Here is an 18991-nt window from a genome sequence, read left to right on the forward strand (position 1 = left end):
TTTTTTTTTCTGTTGCTTCTGTGACCACCACCCCATCTGTAGTAACTGTCTGGAACCACCTTCAGGAATCAAAAGTCACAAAGGAAAACTTGAACCTGTACTCGGATCCTTGACCCTCAAGATAACAGAGCCTGGCGGTAATTCACATGGGCCGTGCAATCTGCAGCCTGAAACAACAACTAACTGCATTACAGAGAAGCGTCTCTCTTTATACTTCTGCAATCCTTGGGATGCTGCTGGTTCATTTATCAAAGCCAGAAACTCCCTTCGGCTCTGCTGTAGTGGACAGAATTAATAGCTGCAGTAATCCAAGTAATTAAATGGTCCCAATAACCAAAGTCTATTGTATCCTTCTTAGGGAAGTAACACTTAAGGCTAAGAACCACAAAACTTTTAATTCCAAACATTGGCTGTGCTTCTATTCCACAGTCTAGTGTTTCACGCAATTCTAAACTAAGATAGAAATGTACTGAAGAAAGAAGAAAGAGAGAAATAAATACCTCTCATGATCTGGCAGGGTGAGCCACTGCAATATGGTTAATATTCTCCGCTCGTGAGGGATGACACTGGAGGGTAAAAGCAAGCAAAGCATGTTGTTAGGTTTCATTTCCGCAAACTCAAGCCTGAGGAGTGCTCGCTCTTGCACCCAGGCCAAATGCTCTCTATTTACCACCATCTGTTTTCACTTCATTTGTAGTAAAAGGCCCTCTTTCGAATTAGCGTTTAAACTACTATTTCCATTTGCAACATATTACGTTGCTCAACCTCTTCCACAGAAGACTACACTGGAAACTCTGATTCACAGTCAGAATGAGGAACCTGTCTTGCTAATCAGAAACTCCACTACAAGCAGAAAGGACCCTGGTTTCAGAATCATTGTCATTTATTCTGTCGAGCCTTTAGCTGTGGCCATAAAGGGATCAGTACTTACATCCCCAATCCGCCTCTTGCTGGCGGTGTGACCTCTCTTGACCACTCGGTCTCAGTTTACTCATCGGTAAGATAAAGCTAACAGCAAAGAACACTGTACAGCTTGGTTGTAAGGATGAAATGAGACAAGACAAGGAAAGGGCATGTCCAGTGCGTAAGACACAGTAAGTTCTTTAAAAACATATTTTTATTAATGATCATAATGCGTTATCATTCTGCCTCTAAATAATGGTATGACTTTAGAAACACTACCTAACCTGAAACTTTAAGTTCCTCCTCTATAAAATAATGGGTTAGGGAAGGTATTCTTGCCATTTTCTTCCAGCCCTGTAAAAATCTACCAAGAATAGGCCAGGTGCAGTGGCTCATGCCTATAATCCCAGCATTTTGGGAAGCCGAGGCAGGCAGATCACCTGAGGTCAGGAGTTCGAGACCAGCCTGACCAGCATGGCAAAACCCCGTCACTACTAAAAATACAAAATTAGCCAGGCATGGTGGCACATGCCTGTAATCCCAGCTACTTGGGAGGCTGAGGCAAGAGAATCGCTTGAATCCAGGAGGCAGAGGTTGCAGTGAGCCAAGATTACAGCATTACACTACAGCCTGGGCAACAAGAGTGAAACTCTGTCTCAAAAAAAAAAAAAAAAAAGAATAGGCACATATAATTAAGAGACTGACAAAAAGGGTATAATCTTCATCCACAATAACTTTTGTGTTTAAGTCTCTTTCCTCTGTTGAAATATAATTACCCTAAGTCTGGCACTAGCTTTAAGGGCTCTAAGGCCTCACAGCTAACATGACAGTATTGCATCCCCGGCTGAGTTACATTCAGATGCTCACAAGCTGAGTGATATCTTTAGTCAGGGGAAATTCACCCACTCTTTCCCAACAGGGAGCACAAAATGCATTTTCACTCCCCGATCCAAGACCAGGCATTAGAGGCATGTTCATGATGAATTCAAACTAAAGCACAAGTTTAAATGTGGTCAGGAAAAATTATTGTGGAACATTGGTGAGCCATTTAAACTTTTACTCTCAGTGGACATGAGCAGTGAGAGAGCTGGGAGAAGGATAAATCCTCAAGCCGGGGCTCTCATCAAGTGGTTTCTCTTCCTCCCCCATCACCATCCAGCTCACAGGGATTTGTCATTCCCCAGGCACCCTCTCTTTCTGGAACTATCACACAAGACCAGAAAATCATGTGTGCCATAAAATGAGTCCAAATTTAAACATATTCCAATGCTATTGGATAAATGCGACCCTGATCACTATATCCTATAATTGAATTAGAAATAGGCAGAGCAAAGCCAGGTTAATCACTTAAGGAATTTAATTCTTCAGCTTTAGAAATCCTTTGTATCTGAGCAAAATAATTGCATACTTTGAATTCTTTCCTGTTTAAAAAAAAAAAGTGAATGCCAGAGCCTTTTCATTATACTTTATTTCACTACCTGCCTAAAAGCTGCTTTATTTTACGTAATTGGTGTTAAGCCACAGAAACGGGCCCTAATGAACCCACTTTCAATACTAATGGAAAAATACAAACTAACAGAATCTGTGTCAAGCTCAGAATGCTCACCCCTGAATGCCCTCGTTGGATGGGGTACTTGAACAATGGTAGACGGGGAATTAAAAGTGCCAGCTATGAGGCCAGAGTGCTTGGGTTTGTATCCTGACTCCAACAAATGCTGGTGATAAGACTTGGCAAGTTATCTAAACTTTTGATGCCTCTGGAAAACGAGGACAATATAATAGTACCTATCTCATAAAGTTGTAGTAAAGGTGAAAAGAGAATACATTTAGAATAGTGAAAAGCATTTAGAATAGTGCTGGGCACATAGAAAGGGTTTAGAAAAATGTTAGCTTTTATTGTTATATACTAAATGTATAGGTCTGCAGAGATGATATATTCATTCACAAAATATTTGTTAAGGGCATATTGGGTTTAAGGCATTTGTGTAAACGTAAATAAAGATATTCCTACCAAAAAGACTATTATGGAGGGGTCGTCATTTTCTTGGGGGAAAGATAAGCAAGTGATAATTCTTTTCTGGGCAGGGGCTGATTGTGTTTGTGTTGAGAATAAGATGAGGACGCTGGAGGTCTGAGTAGCCATCCTACCTCTGACCTTAGGTGCAACATTTAACCTCTCTAGGCCTTAGTGTTCTAACCTCTCAATCTCTCTCTTTTTTTTTTTTTTTTTTTTGGTTGTTGTTGTTGAGATGGAGTCTTGCTCTGTCGCCTAGGCTGGAGTGCAGTGACACAATCTCGGCTCACTGCAACCTCCACCTCCCCGGTTCAAGCTATTCTCCTGCCTCAGCCTCCCAAGTAGCTGGGATTAAAGGTGCCTGCCACCACGCCTGGCTAATTTTTGTATTTTTAGTAGAGACGGGGTTTCACCATGTTGGCCAGGCTGGTTTTGAACTCCTGACCTCAAGTGATCCACCCGCTTCAGCCTCCCAAAGTGCTGGGATTACAGGCATGAGCCACCACACCCAGCCTCTAATCTCTTAAATGAGGAGTTGGGCAAGGTTGTCTCTGTTTCCTAGGAGTTCTAGATTATCTTTATGAAATAACCTCAGAGACCAAAAGGACATGGCCCTTAGCCATTAGCATTTCAAATATTCAAATACAATGCGCAGACAGCACAAATAAATCTGACCAAGAAAGAGCAAAAAAAGAAATGGGGTACATGTTGCTGTCTTCACCACCACTGATTGATGCAGAATTTGTCATGAGACCAAGTATATTAGAAATGGTCAAAAAAAAAAAAAAAAGACTAAGTTAAGTATTTACTAGTAAAGGAGAGCAAATTATCTTAAGTCATATATAGCCCTTGTCTAGTCAATGTTGAAAGAGAGAATGTGAATAAGAAAACAAATACCATTTATTAGTTGTTCTCTGTGTACCAAATACCCTAATAAGCATTTTATGTTGTTTTATTTTATTTTATTTTTTATTTTTTGAGATGGAGTCTTGCTCTGTCTCCCAGGCTAGAGTGCAGTGGCATGGTCTCGGCTCACTGCAAGCTCCGCCTCCTGGGTTCACACCATTCTCCTGCCTCAGCCTCCTGAGTAGCTGGGATTACAGGCGCCCACCACCACGCCTGGCTAATTTTTTGTATTTTTAGTAGAGAGGGGGTTTCACCGTGTTAGCCAGGATGTTCTCCATCTCCTGACCTTGTGATCCACCCACCTTGGCCTCCCAAAGTGCTGGGATTACAGGCTTGAGCCACTGCACCCGGCCTATTTTATTTTATTTTTGAGACAGGGTCTCACTCTGTTGCCCAGGCTGGGGTGCAGTGGTGCCATCTCAGCTCACTGCAGCCTCAAACTCCTCGGGCTTGGTGATCCTCCCACCTCAGTCTCCCAAGTAGCTGGGACTATAGGCACGTGCCACCATGCCTGGCTAATTTTCGTATATTTTGGAGAGATGGGGTTTTGCCATGTTGCCCAGCTTGGTCTCAAACTCCTGTGCTCAAGCGATCCACCTGCCTTCCAAAGTGCTGAGACTACAGGCATGAGCCCCCAGGCCCGGCCATAAGCATTTTAAATATGTTAGCTCATTGCATCTTTGCAACATCCCATGATGAAGATACCATATATGTGTGTGTGTGTGTGTGTGTGTGTGTGTGTGTGTATTTTTTTTTTTGAGACAGAGTTTCACTCTTGTTGCCCAGGTTGGAGTGCAATGGCATGATCTCAGCTCACCGAAACCTCTGCCTCCCAGGTTCAAGCCATTCTCCTGCCTCAGCCTCCCAGGTAGCTGGGATTACAGACATGTGTCCCCATGCCCAGCTAATTTTGTATTTTTTTTTTTTTAGGAGAGACGAGGGTTCTCCATGTTGAATAGGCTGGTCTCGAACTCCTGACCTCAGGTGATCTGCCCACCTCAGCCCCCAAAGTGCTGGGATTACAGGCGTGAGCCACCATACCCAGCCGAAGATACTGTAATTTTTATTTGAAGATGAGGACATGGATTTGTTGAGAGATTAAATCACTAGTCCAAGGTCACCAATCTAATAAGCAGCCAAGCTGGGATGAGAATCAACGTGAACAATCATACATAATGGGAATTACTGTCTTTGAACATGAATTGGCACAAAAGAATGGAGCATCAGCCGAAGATTATTTCAGAATGAAATACTATCATTTAAAAGGCAAGAATAATTCTAGGTTGCAGTACGGAACCATGTTAAAAAGATGGCCTTCAAAGTCTAAGTCTATGGTTTGAATCAGGTTCTAAATTTTTTTAAGTTTTCAGAATATACACTGTGTAGATTTCCTTGACGTATATATTCTCTTAACTAACTGAAAGTGTGATCCTATTTTTTTAAAGTTGTAAAATACTTCAAAAAAAAGGGGAAAAAATGAATCCAAGTCACTTTCAGGATACAGAGTTAAAATAATAGTCTGAGAAGCAAATGAAAGCTACAGACATCTTTGGAGCATACAAAAGCCACCTTCTTATAAGTGATTTCAAATGGGTGGAGAAAATTGCCATTCAAAACCAGAACACTGGGCCTTTTCAATGAGGCTTTGCAGCAGTTTCAGGGGGGCAAAGGTGGGGACTCAGTATTAATTATGTTGTTGGCTCCTCTCCATTCTGCCAGGCAAATATGTTACAGAACAGAAGAAAATACTTCTATGAGCGTCTATGACAGTCAAGAGTTAAAGAAATGTCACACATAGGATAACACTGGTAAATCAACATGCTGTTTATATTAAGCAGTATCATTTCCAACCTACCTACACTTACTTCTCAGCTCAGAAACCTCTTTAAAAAAAAAAAAAAGAAAGAAAGAAATCTCTTAAAGGGACAGTGTGTGCTAGATTCAAATCACCAAACCCAATTTCAATTTAGCCCTTCAAATCTGAAAAAGCTACTTTTATTTCTGATTTTAGAGAGTATAGACAGTACCGTTCTGGATTAATTTGAGCCTGCAGTAGCTCTCAGCACACTGCTATTATAGAATAGTCAGATTTTTGTTAGGCATACAGGCAAATACAGAAACAGCTTTAGGTGGTTTAAAAAAAAAAAAAAGATGGAAAGAACATCTCAGTGGGAACAAAATCCCCGTGAAAGTTGAAACAGATTCCTTTTCTTACTAAGGAACCTTAAAAATCATCAACATGTTGATACTTTTATTAGGTAAGATTCATCTTAAGGCTTATGAACATTAACTGCTTATCCCCCCATCACTTCTTTAGGGATGGGAAGGAGCCCCACTTTCTTATTAGAAAAATCCTGGAGTTCAGTGGGAAAATGAGGTGAAAATAGAGGCTTCCCCTTGGTCTCCTGTCTGGAACTTTCAATCTCTAGACGACTCCTTCGGCTCCCCAGAGGCCTGAGACCATCTAGATATTTTTAAGTTGTGAACCAAAATAAATATAATATGTTGTCATATATTTATAGAAAATGATAACGACAGCCACTGCCATAAATAGTCTAAGAGAAATATACATGTCCTAGATGGCAAGTTACCAAAAACCTACAAACAGGAATAGAAAAATCTAAAGGACATCCGGAAGGAGGAGAGACCATCTTACATTCTGTTGAGAGGATGGGGCTGGGCACGGTGGCTCATGCCTGTAATCCCAGCACTTTGGGAGACAGAGGCGGGAGGATCACAAGGTCAGGAGTTTGAGACCAGCCTCGCAAACGTGGTGAAACCCTGTCTCTACTAAAGATACAAAAAATTAGCCGGGAGTGGTAGCAGGTGCCTGTAATTCCAGCCACTTGGGAGGCTGAGGCAGGAGAATCACTTGAACCCGGGAGGCAGAGGTTGCAGTGAGCCAAGATTGCGCCACTGCACTCTAGCCTGGGTGACAGGGCAAGACTCCATCTCAAAAAAAAAAAAAATAGAGAGAGACAGGATGGAAAAAAGGAGAGCTGGAGGACAAAAAGAAGGTAGGATGAGGCACAGAGGGAGGATCTCAGGAAAAAAACACCTGGAAGGTTATTTTGATTTAGTAAATATTCAAAAGTTCTATATTTTCACATTTAACTGAAACAAAATAAAACTTAAATTGATGTTTTAGAAATTGAATCATAGCTGTCATTTTATAAACATTGACAAAATAAAGGTAACTTACACAGACCAAAAGAATGTTCCAGCTTTCACCCCTTGCTTGGTGGCTGTAATCCATAGCTAATGAGGAAAATATAAGCGGCTTAAAATGTGTTCTGTGTTTTTGTCAAAGAAGAAAAAGTTTTTAAAATACATTAGATCAGATATCTTATACTCTACTCACACCCCAACATAAATTTTCCATTATTTGCAACCATTTATTTTCACATCTGGAAGTCAGAATCATTATTTCCACAAATGTTATTCAATATATTCTCTGCAAAAGCTCTCAAAAGCTCCTGCTATGATTCTAGTGACATATTTTTTAAAATCTTATTTTATCTCAAAAGCCTCTCTCTTCTGTACCTGTCTTTTCTGATCATTGTTTTGAACAATTAACTTATGCAGCATAATTCTGCTCATCAAAGGACCCAAGAGTGGGCCATATGTTTCCTTTACTATTGAAAGCCTCAAGGAGGAGTGCCCCAATTTGGCATCCAGATGTCAGAATTTTGGAATCCAGATTGTCTTGTTTTAGTTTAAACTAGATGAATGAGAAGGGGGAAAAAGGCTAATTTTTAATTTTGATTTTTCCTAAATCTTTTACCTAGCCTTTTAGTAAATGTTATTTTAGAGGAAAGTTCCTAGAATAAGTTAAGTGAACCAAGCATTTCATCAAGGTTTTTAAAATATTCTTTACACCGTGTACTATTGGGGAGGCATAAGATATAGGAGTTTAGAACCTGGGCTCTGCAATCAGACAGTTTGGATTTTAAGCCTTGTTTCTGTCACTTACCAGCCATGTAGTCCTTTGGCAAGTTACTTAATATCTTTGTGTTTCTGTTTCCTTTACAATGTAAATAATCTTATCTAGCATATAGGATTATTCTAAGCTTTAATGAGTTAATACATTTAAAGTCCTTAAACCAGTGTCTTAACATCTGGCAAACACTCGATAAATTTACATATTTATTGTTATGCAATAATGGAAATAAATAATCCAATTATTCTAGTAATATTAAAAACAGCCTAAGATGGCAAGTGTCCCACTGAACAGAAGTCTATGAGAAGAAACCCCCTCACTTAAAGAAAGAGAATGGAAGCAAATACGAGAGAGAATTGTGGTTTGCCTAAGACCAAAACAAAAATGATCTGGGAATTGTAGCCAGCCCCTTTTCTGGTTTCATTGTCACCAGCCTTTGAGAGTATCCTTAAAGAGTGACAACTTATTTTTTGAGGAAATGGGTAACTGGGAGGTGGAGAACATCCAGAAGCTTAACCATTGTTTCAAAATCACCTGGGATACCTGCCCTGGGAAAGCTCGAAAAGGGTTCCAGCCCCCTTGGAGCCTCTAGAAATCCTCAGCCCCAAACTAACAGCTACTGTAGCTGGCAAATGAGGGATGGGGCAGGAGAACGTACAGAGCACTCTTCAGTCTGTGGGTTCTGAGCTGCTGGTGAATTTCATCAGCCTGGGAGAGGTAGGGGCCTCATCCTGTTCACATGGCTCTGAGGGACCAGACCTTCTTGGCCAGACTTTTGGTTCCCTGGGATGTTTGGAGACATAAGAATCTCAGATTGTTCTGAGAGTCCTTCACTCCATTTAGTCCAAAGCTCTTTCTATTTTAAAGACAAATTCTGGCATCCTCCAGGAACCCCAGCCCAACTAGGGTTCAGAATGTGTCCTGGACTTTCATTCATTCTTGTTCCAGCACCTCCACCAGCAAGAAGATGAGCTCAAATGAAGTGCTGGACACACTATAAAACCATGCCAGTTCCCAAAGAGGCCAGTTCCTTATATTAAGGGATCTATTTTCATACTTATTTTAATTGCTTATACACAATCTTAGCACATTCCAATATCCAAACAACTTCCTAGATGTACTGCCTTGCTATTTCCAAGAAGATTGTACTAGGCAATACTTGGCATCTATGAAATTTAAGATTAATATGGAGTTTCCTAAAGGAAAACACACTTTTAATACAAATTTCTCAAATAATGACCTGCACTTTCAAAAAGTATACGGTAGAATACATGCTGATGTTGGCATCATTAGGGCAACAGGAAGTTCTGAGAGTTAATTTAACTCAGTAATCCTTAGGGAAAAAAGATCACTGGAAGAGGTCTTTACAGTGTCAAAAGGAAGGAGCACACAGAGTGAAAATGACAGGGTATGTTAAAATTATTATGATGGCAAAATTAAGATCATTTGTTCTTTATATTTTTCTGTACTTTCCAACAATTTTACAGTGACAATCAACTTACTTGTAATCAGAAAAAAAAAACTAACCAATTTTAAAAAGCAGTGTCTTAGAAGCATACAGTGTAAACTATGGAGGCAATTTAAAGGTAAAATTTGTATTTCTTCTAAAAACAAAATCAAAAAGCAGAAAAATTCTGCCTGTTTCTTGGTAAAAGTCAGGTTGACCACATTTTCAAAAAGAAAATTGAGAGCATGATCAGAAAAGTATAAAAACTGAACAAAAAAGATAAAATACTTAAAATGAAAAGCACATTTTCCCAAGGGGGGGAAAAAGGCACTAAAATATTGGTCCAGAAGAAGAAAAGTGAATACAAGCCGATAAGGTTATAAAAGAGAGAGAGAGAGAGAGAGAGAGAGAAGCTTCCCGGTTCCTTGTTAATTCAGAGATATAAGTGTCAAAGTTTCTCTGAATTTGAATGCAATATAAATTTCTTCAGAGGGTAGTTTAAAAAAAAAAATCAGGCCAGGTGTGGTGGCTCACGCCTATAATCCCAGCACTTTGGGAGGCCGAAGAGGGTGGATCGCCTGAGGTCAGGAGTTCGAGACCAGCCTGGCCAACATGGTGAAACCCATCTCTACTAAAGATACAAAAAACCAGCCAGGAGTCGTGATAGGCACCTGTAATCCCAGCTACTCAGGAGGCTGAGGCAGGAGAATCGCTTAAACCCAGGAGGTACAGGTTGTAGTGAGCTGAGATTGCACCACTGCCCTCCAGCCTGGATGACAGAGTGAGATTCTGTCTTTAAAAAAAAAAAAAAAAATACAACTAAAAAAATAAGCTTAAGAAAACACTGGGTTTGGGCTTTCTCCCTCTAATCCCAAAACTCCCTGCATTGCTTTCCTTTATCTGGAGGCCCAGCTTTCAACATTTGTGTCCTAGATGCTGCTTTGTGAAAAGGGGACAAATGGGAATGACATTGTATCTTGTGATGTGCTATTTATTAGAAATCAAAAAGGCTTCCTCCACAGGAACCAAGTAGGTTAAATATGAAATTCAACACTTTCTCAAATTCAGCATGTAGCTTTGGGAGAAAAGGAGAAGTTTGGAAAAAGAAAAATATTAGCCAAAAACATTTTTTCAAAAAACATAAACTACTAGTGCAGTCTTTCTAGCAGTTCCTCGAAGGGAAATCATTCCTTTGCACTCGAAAGCATTGAGCTAGGATAAACAGAATTCTAGGAGACCAGGGGATCGGTGGAGCACTTGCTTCAGCAGATCAATCGCTGAGAATCAGAACAAATTAAGGGTGTGGGGGTTGGGGGAGGCAGCAGAAGAGACTGGGGCCCAATGCAGCTGGTTTCCACGTGATTAGGGCCAGAAGGAGGTGAGTGAGGAAGCTGTTGGCATGTGGCCGGAGCTGCCGAGGCTGAGATGGAGTGCTGTCCTTAAGGCCACCTACCCTAGGGGAAGCACAGGCCAAATATGCCCCCGAAGGAAACAAAGAACAGTTCCATCCGAAACACAATAGCGGAGCCAGGCTCTAGATTGGGTCTTCGAAACAGAAATACACCAAGTCCCTACCTGCATGGGACCCGCAGTGTAAAGCAGACCTGTGAATAACCAACTTCAAAAGGAGGTGGTCAGGCCGGGCGCCGTGGCTCACACCTGTAATCCCAGCACTTTGGGAGGCCAAGGCAGACAGATCACTTGAGGTCAGGAGTTCAAGACCAGACTGGTTGACATAGTGAAACGCCACTCTACTAAAAATACAAAAAAATTTTATCTGGGCATGGTGGCACACGCCTGTAATCCCAGCTACCCAGGAGGTAGAGGTATGAGAATCACTTGAACCCGGGAGGCGGAGGTTGCTGTGAGCCGAGACTGTGCCACTGCCCTCCAGCCTGGGCGACAGAGCAAAACTCTGTCTCAAAAAAAATAAAAATAAAAAGAGATTTCCAAATTTATGATAGTAAAAATATAAAAGCCCAAAGGACAGTCACTTTGCTTAGCCAGAGCTGGAAATGCTGGGGGAAGGAAGGCCTCCTCGGGACAGACACTTCAGCTGAAATTTGGAAGAAAAATAAGAGGCTGGTAAGCAAAGGCACCAGGTTAGCAGAGCTCGCCCTAACTAGGTACATTTGGATACAGTACAAAGAGAAAAAACTGCAGGTCTGCGGTAGTATATGGAAAAGAAACAACAGAATAAAGAATAGGTTAAATGTTCCTGAAAAGAAATATTGTCTCTTTATCAGGACAATAAAACAGATAAAAAGAGGTTAGCAATGACTTGTACTTTCCATCAAGTCAACCCCTTTTGGCCTGGAAAGTCACCCCTATTCTGTGTCATTCTTCTTCTCCTGCTGTCTCTGTCTTAAACACACATTTCTTGCATTTTTTCACTGCAGTCATTCACTAAAATGGCTTCTGTTCCAACTCATTGTACCACCAATACTGGCAGAGAGCAATTCTAGGTCAAGCAACTTAAGTGATAAGAATGCATCTGCTGGACAGTTGCAGTTGGGATCACGCCTGTAATACCAAGACTTTGAGAGGCTGAGGCAGGCACCTTGCTTGAGCTCAGAAGTTGGAGACAATCCTGGGCAACAAGGCGAAATGTTGTCTCTACAAAAGATACAAAAATTAGCCAGGCATGGTAGTGTGTGCCTATAGTCCCACCTGCTCAGGAGGCTGAGGTGGGAGTGTTGCTTGAGCCCGAGAGGCTGAGACTGCAGTGAGCCAAAATCATGCCACTGCACTCCAGCCTGGGCGACTATACTAAGATGTTGTCTCATTAAATATAATAATAAATTTTTAAAAAATAATAATCTGCTTCTCTTAGAAACACCTTACTCCAGAAATGCTGACTTCAGGAGACTTGGATCATGATGGGGTATTAAACTTGTTTCTCAAATCTCCACATTTAGTCAACTCCTAGGAATCCCATTCATTCCTCCCATTGCTGAGAATCCAGATTTAAACAGAACAGGGAACAACCCCATGGAAGTATCTTTGTATTAGAAATTGCAGGACCGTAGCAGAGAGAATTTCCAAAGAAACCAACCCACTTAAGGAACTCCATTAAACTACGTATGAGAAATGCAGGGTCCTACAGCAAACGACTGCTTCTAGCAATGCATGTTGAGTATTAACAAATTAAAAGCAGACTAGACTTTAATTGACTATATCAAGGCTAAAAAACAAAGATTAAATTAAATTATAAAAGACTAAATTAAATTATTTTCGGAAGACGCCTATTTAGATTCAAATTTTCAAATGGCCATTGTACAATTGCCTCATCCCATCTACTAGAGTTTATGCTAGGACAAGAAGTGGCTTTTATTCACCATGTAATCTGACCCCTATGCCATTTGGCTAAATGTCTTGCATGGTTTAGTCCCTCAGTAAAAATAAATTGAGTTTAATTTAATTATCAATCTAAGATTTGTATAAATATTTTCTCTTATAAATGTATAAAAAATTATAAGACTTTTATAAATATTTTTTCACTGGTGATTTTAAAACGAAGCCTCTGAGAGGATGGTATAAATGCTTGTAGAATATTCATTAATTTTTTCTTATAGTACTTTTAGTTGCTTATACTCTTATACTTTGACTAAAGTTTCTTTTTAATTACTTTTTATTTATAACTGACATATAATAATTGTGCATATTTATGGGATACAGTGTGATGTTTCAATGCATGTGTACATTGTATAATGATCAAATCAGGGTAATTACCATATCCATAACTTTAAACATTTATCATTTCTTTTTGGTGACAACATTTAAAATTTTCCATCTTAAATACACTACATTGTTATTTGCTATAGTCACCCTACTGTATAATAGAACACCCTACTGTATAATAGAATAGAACAATACTTTGTCTATATGTTTTTCCAATATGCCAAATTTCAATAAAATGTGTTTTTAAATTGTAGTTACTATGCTCCTGGGAAATCTTTTTTTTTTTTTTTTTTTTTTGAGATGGAGTCTCGCACTGTCACCCGGGCTGGAGTGCAATGGTGTGATCTCAACTCACTGCAACCTCCACCTCCAGCTTCAAGCAATTTTCCTGCCTCAGCCTCCCGAGTAGCTAGGATTACAGGTGCCTGCCACCACACCTGGCTAATTTTTTGTATCTTTAGTAGAGATGGAGTTTCACTATGTTGGCCAGGCTGGTCTCAAACTCCTGACCTCATGATCCACCCACCTCAGCCTCCCAAAGTGCTGAGCCATCGCACATGAGCCACCACGCCCGGCCCCTCCTAGGAATTCTTATGGTGGCCATCTTGCCCAAGATGACAGAAACACTAGTCAGTTTCACCACAAATCTTGGTCAGCATGAGGAGAGTACTAAACTTGGTCAGATGCGTCAACTTTGGGAGTTAGTGAGGAAACAGGTAAACAGAGCTGAAACAGAGACTTCACTTCATTGGGCAGGTTAACAGCATTTCCTCTGCTCTGCTTTTGCAGAAGTTAATGAATATGTGGCCTCATCTTCTTCTGAGTCATCCTAACCCAAAGCAAACCTTATGTCAACACTTGGTGTAAGGTGATCCAATTTGATAAAATTACTATTTATCTCTAATCCTTTAAGGTTCTTCAGGTAAGTTTGCTTCCATAATCAAATTAATATAAAAGACCCACTAGTGAAAGCTTAATGGAGCTCTAATTTCAATCATTTTGTGTACTCATAAAATATTCCCCTATCATAAACTTTGAATAATCCACCCTGTCAACAAATTTCACTATGATCACACCCTAGGCCATTATGGACTTCTGGGAGTCCAGCCTGAATAAAGACAGCAGAATCAGAGCATCTATTATAAAGAAACTTATCTGCAGATGTACAAGAAGTCTTTCAATGTTTATTTTTTTAATAAAAAGCTCATATTTATCCTTGCATACTGATTTACCTATTATGCAATATAAATATTTTGATCACAAATGACCTTTTCTTAAAGTGAGATACCTTAAGAAAAAATTTCTATTTATAGTCCTTATTTTGTCCATAAATTGCAGCAAAAGATTTCCAGGTACAAGATCATTGAGGCATGGTGGATACATGGATGTGTGCAGACACTGCCCACCAGTCATGCCACGGTTGAGTGCACAAAGTTCTCCCAGCCCTCTTCTCTAACCAGTGCTGCAGGAAGCCACTGTCTCCAATCAGAATTGGCATGAGATGGAACCACTTACCATCTTACTTCTACATGTTTCTGATTGCCTGTGTGCCCTGGGTTATGTTCCTAGGTGATTCTGATACTTCTGGCCAGAAGCTTGTACACTTCAGCCCAGCTCTGCACATTCAACAACTGTGGCTTTATGCTGCTTTGCTCATGTCTGACCAAAGCAAGTTGCGTAACCATACACACGGTCACAGGAAAAACATTAGGTAGAAAGCCACCTACAACCCTTTTTATTTTCTGCCCAGTCATTTGATCTGAAGTAAACAGGGTGATTTCTTTTCAAAGTATTAATTTGCTATTTCAGTATCAAGGTAGGATTCTGCTTTTTGTATTTAACTTCATGATTTTTAAAAAATAGATTAAATAAAAAAATTCATGAATTTACTGTGGATTTCAGTGAGTTCCCTTTTTTTCCAGCAAGTTTCCCTGTTTCTGTTATTATAGCATCAGGGCTAGCATATTGGGGAAGTCACAGTCATACACTTCTCTTTTTTATTATACGCCTAAATCTGGGAAATCAATGAGATCTGACTATTTCTTTGTCAAAATGGTTCTGAAATTCACCTCATCACCATTGTCACCACCATAATCCTAGGGAAGACATTCATATCATCTCACTTTTATAATCATAGCCTCACAAAGATGCATGCATATATACACACAGAGACACATACACATATGTATACATACATGTATATTCTATGTGCACATATGTATGTACACATACATAAATATATAATATATACATATATCAGATATATAATGCATATATACACATATTTCAGATATATATATAATGCATATATACACATATTTCATGTTTGTATGTATATTAAAAGTATCAAAAGACAGAAACATTGCCAAGTATGAGGAAATTATACGCATTTTTTCCACATCTAACAAATTTGGGGATGAAATGTCTCAATACATGAACACACAAACACATAGACACACAATAAATGCAAAACTTACCGGTTGACCTCCCCACCATCTATGATTAAATTTCTCTCGCCCTCGCAGATGAAAAGTGGCATCAAATACAGGATCATACATTGAATTGCCAACAATTCCATGTGATTCTGGATATAGCCCCTTTTTGTAAAAGCAAATTTATTGTTAAAATAACAATACAATAATCCACATACATTAGTTCTAGTATGAATTTTCTTAGCATAGAAGGTTTTATAGCAATACTTAATTTCCAAAATTATATAAGACATGTATAACCTTCACTGTGTATCTGTTTGAGCAAACATGAATAATATCTATGGGACAAATTATAAGCCATCTGAGAAACTTAATATGATTATAAGAAATTTAACATTGGGGTTTTTTTCTGCTGTAATTTAAGAAGATGACAATAATTTTCATTACAATAAATTAACCTTTAGTTTGGAATGTATACATGTGCCTCCAAAGAAGCTTCTATTTCTAAATACACTTTTCTTTCTTTCTAAATTCTATTGCTCCCCGAATCAATAAAAATATATAAATAAATTATGTTTTAAAGAAGGAAGAGTGGTAGAATTTGAAGTACCTGAAAATTAAAATATAGCCCTGAAGTCAACATTTTTATTTGCAAATTCAGAAAATAAACAATAGACCCTCTGGTATTTGAGAGAAGTTTAATGTATGTGTTCAAACAGAACTGCACCTGAAAAAAGTTTTCAGCTTTAAAGTTGGAATGAAGTTCCATCACCCACAAAGTTGTAAAAGGCATTTGCTGTGAACAAATGACCCAGTTAAGATGGAAAACAGAAAGATTTTCTTTGAACACTAAGGAACACGTTTTAAAAGTAAAGTCTCTCCTTTAAAGTCATTCCAGGATGAAATCAGCCCTTTGAATGTGTATCATTCGAAAAAATACTTACAGTGGCCAAAGTGTATAAGTTAGGAAAGGTTTTAGTTGGGTACACCGGCCTCATGTAGGGAGAGTGTGTGCCACAAGACCCTGGAAAGAGAATTGCAAATATTAGAACAAGAGAACCAACAGGAATTGCTTATAGAAAATCCATTTTATAAACACTCAGACATGTGTTACCTTCACTTCTGTATTTCAAATAATAAAACACATTTAAAACTACGTGCCCATAGATCTCAAAGCCCACAGCCCACTGGTTAGTGTGGAGATCCTAGATTACAGATAAGAACACAGAGTATGGAAATTACTTACTTAGTTTTTCAATATTAGGCATGACTTTGCTGCCTTTCTTCATGTATGATGCACGGAAGCCATCCACGGAGAAGATGATTAATGGAGGGCGAACAAACCTTAAACAGTAACACATTAAGCTTTTAGAAACATTATTACCAGAGTTGCCATTACGCCTAGTGATTCTCAATAATGGGAGCAATAATTTCCAAGAAAAAATTTCACCGGGCGTGATGGCTTACGCTTATAATCCCAGCACTTTGGGAGTCCGAGGCGGGCTGATCACCTGAGGTCAGGAGTTCGAGACCAGCCTGGCAACATGGTGAAACCCCCATCTCTACTACAAATACAAAAATCAGCTGCACGTGGTGGCGGGCACCTGTAATCCCAGCTACTTGGAATGCTGAGGCAGGAGAATCACTTGAACAGGGGAGACAGATGTTGCAGTGAGCTGAGATCGCACCATTGCACTCCAGCCTGGGCGACAAGAGTGAAACTCCATCTCAAAAAAAATATAATAAAATAAAATAACCGAACATATTCATTTAACCATTTAACCACAAGCCAGTCATGGTTAAATCAAGACTGCCCAACAAAAATACTCTGTCAGTCATTCATTATCTGAATTCTTGTGTATGAGATCTGTTAAGGTACAGATTAAGAAGTCATGAAACATTTCTGTTTTGTAACAAATAACACAGTGACCTGTTATTATTCATTGGTAGCTTTTTTTGAGATGAGCTATCAAGGCTGCCCTTTCTGCCTTGTTCTTCATGCCTGCGAAGATCATTTTTGTTCCGGGGATGTGCTTCTTGGGATTCTCCAAATACTCCATGAGTGTATCCTCTCCCCAGGAGATGCTTTTGTTCTTATGGGCCTCTGTATAAGAGAATCCAATGGCCTGATCTGTCTTCCCCACAAAGAGACCATGGAGATTTGACCCAGCCACCTGTTTGCCTCCCTTTTCAACAGTGTGGAACTGGGCACACTTCTGAACAAAAATTCTCTTGCCTTTTTCAACATCACCCATATTTAATTCTCTCTTTGGTTGCTGGTGCTATAAAGGTTCCCATTCAGAAGCCAGATGTCCCACTGCCTTGGATGCCTTTTTTTTTTTTAGAGGGGGTCTCTTTCATCCAGGCTGGAGTCCAGTGGCACAATCTGGGCTCAATGCAACCTCTGCCTCCTGGGTTCAAGCGATTCTCATGCCTCTGCCTCCCAAGTAGCTGGGATTACAAGCGCTGGCTAATTTTTTTTGTATTTTTTTTTTAGTAGAGGCGGGGTGTCACCATGTTGGCCAGGCTGGTCTCAAACTCCTGACCTCAAATGATATGCCCGCCTCAGCCTCCCAAGTGCTGGGATTACAGGTGTGTAATCAATAAGTAATAATTACTTATTGGATAACACAGTTTTAAAGGTTCTCAGGACTTCCTCTTTCATTCCCCACTCCCCGCAAAGTAGGCAAAACAAGAACTCCAGGAAAAACAATACTGAAAAAAAGTCTTAGCCAGAATATTCAGATGCACTTTGTAAAATCCTCAGCTGAGGTGGAATATAGGGGATGTTCAGACCCCAATATGTGCAGAGGTGATTGGAGAAAACTGGGGGGAAGAAAACTATCACCATTTCAAGACCTACCTTCAACCTTTCGACTCATGAATTACTCCTAAGTACTCATAAGTTTGCCTGTATAAGAGAATTTCAGTTCCACATTGTTTCTAAATACTTCTCTTTTCATTTCCTGTGAGAGTTTATCAGCTAATACATAAAACTTCAAAATAGTCATAAAATACACTTACCCTGCAGGGCATTCTGCGGCCTTTATTTCCTCACAGTCATCATCAACCCAATGCGACTCTCCTATAAGGAAAAATGGGTAAATGTATTGTTGAATCTAATTACAAATGCCATGCCTTGAAGCTCACAATTCCAGGATCTGTGTCCTGTTTGATACTTTCTTTATGGGATATAACAAAAAAAAAAAAAAATTCTGAAAAAAAAATCTAGTGTCTGGTTTGGCTTATAAAGTACACCCATACATGATGGGAAAGCTAAGATTTAATAACCACAAGTGGTGAGGTGTTTATTTGAGCCTTCCGAGTCTAAATGGTTTGTAGATTAAAAAAACCAGTGGCGTCAGTGAACAAAATTTCATGTTTGTATCCCTCCAGAAATAAACTGTTTGGTCATTAGATGGAACATTCTTTTCTCCACCACTGGAGATCTCAAAGCCATAGAAAGCATGGCAAAACTTCCCTTTAGATGCTAAAAAAAAAAAAAAAAGTCTTAGAATCTACAGAGATAATAAGTGGAAGATTACAATAGAAAGATTATTTGCCAATAAATCTCCATACAGCCCTTGAATTTAGAAAGAAAAAAATGCTAAATTTCACTTTTTATCTTCCACCAAGATCTAAGAGCATAATGTCGAGAATAGAGAACA

The 18991-nt window shown here is 39.5% G+C and overlaps 1 protein-coding gene and 1 pseudogene across 13 annotated transcripts in view; both read right to left on the reverse strand.

The window, feature by feature from the left end:
• ENPP2 (ectonucleotide pyrophosphatase/phosphodiesterase 2) overlaps window positions 1-18991 on the reverse strand; it is a 116305-nt gene that overhangs the window by 43811 nt on the left and 53503 nt on the right. For all 13 annotated transcript variants that reach the window (XM_024447182.2, XM_017013573.2, XM_017013574.2 and 10 more), the window contains exons 5-10: window positions 18348-18408; window positions 16570-16667; window positions 16268-16347; window positions 15369-15488; window positions 7026-7081; window positions 501-566 (exon numbers count right to left, since the gene is read on the reverse strand). In XM_024447182.2, coding sequence (XP_024302950.1) covers window positions 501-566; window positions 7026-7081; window positions 15369-15488; window positions 16268-16347; window positions 16570-16667; window positions 18348-18408 — 481 coding nt within the window. The remainder of the gene's footprint in view (window positions 1-500; window positions 567-7025; window positions 7082-15368; window positions 15489-16267; window positions 16348-16569; window positions 16668-18347; window positions 18409-18991) is intronic.
• On the reverse strand, window positions 17260-17578 carry CYCSP23 (CYCS pseudogene 23; annotated as a pseudogene).

Source organism: Homo sapiens, chromosome 8, assembly GCF_000001405.40.
Source record: "Homo sapiens chromosome 8, GRCh38.p14 Primary Assembly".
NCBI lineage: Eukaryota > Metazoa > Chordata > Mammalia > Primates > Hominidae > Homo > Homo sapiens.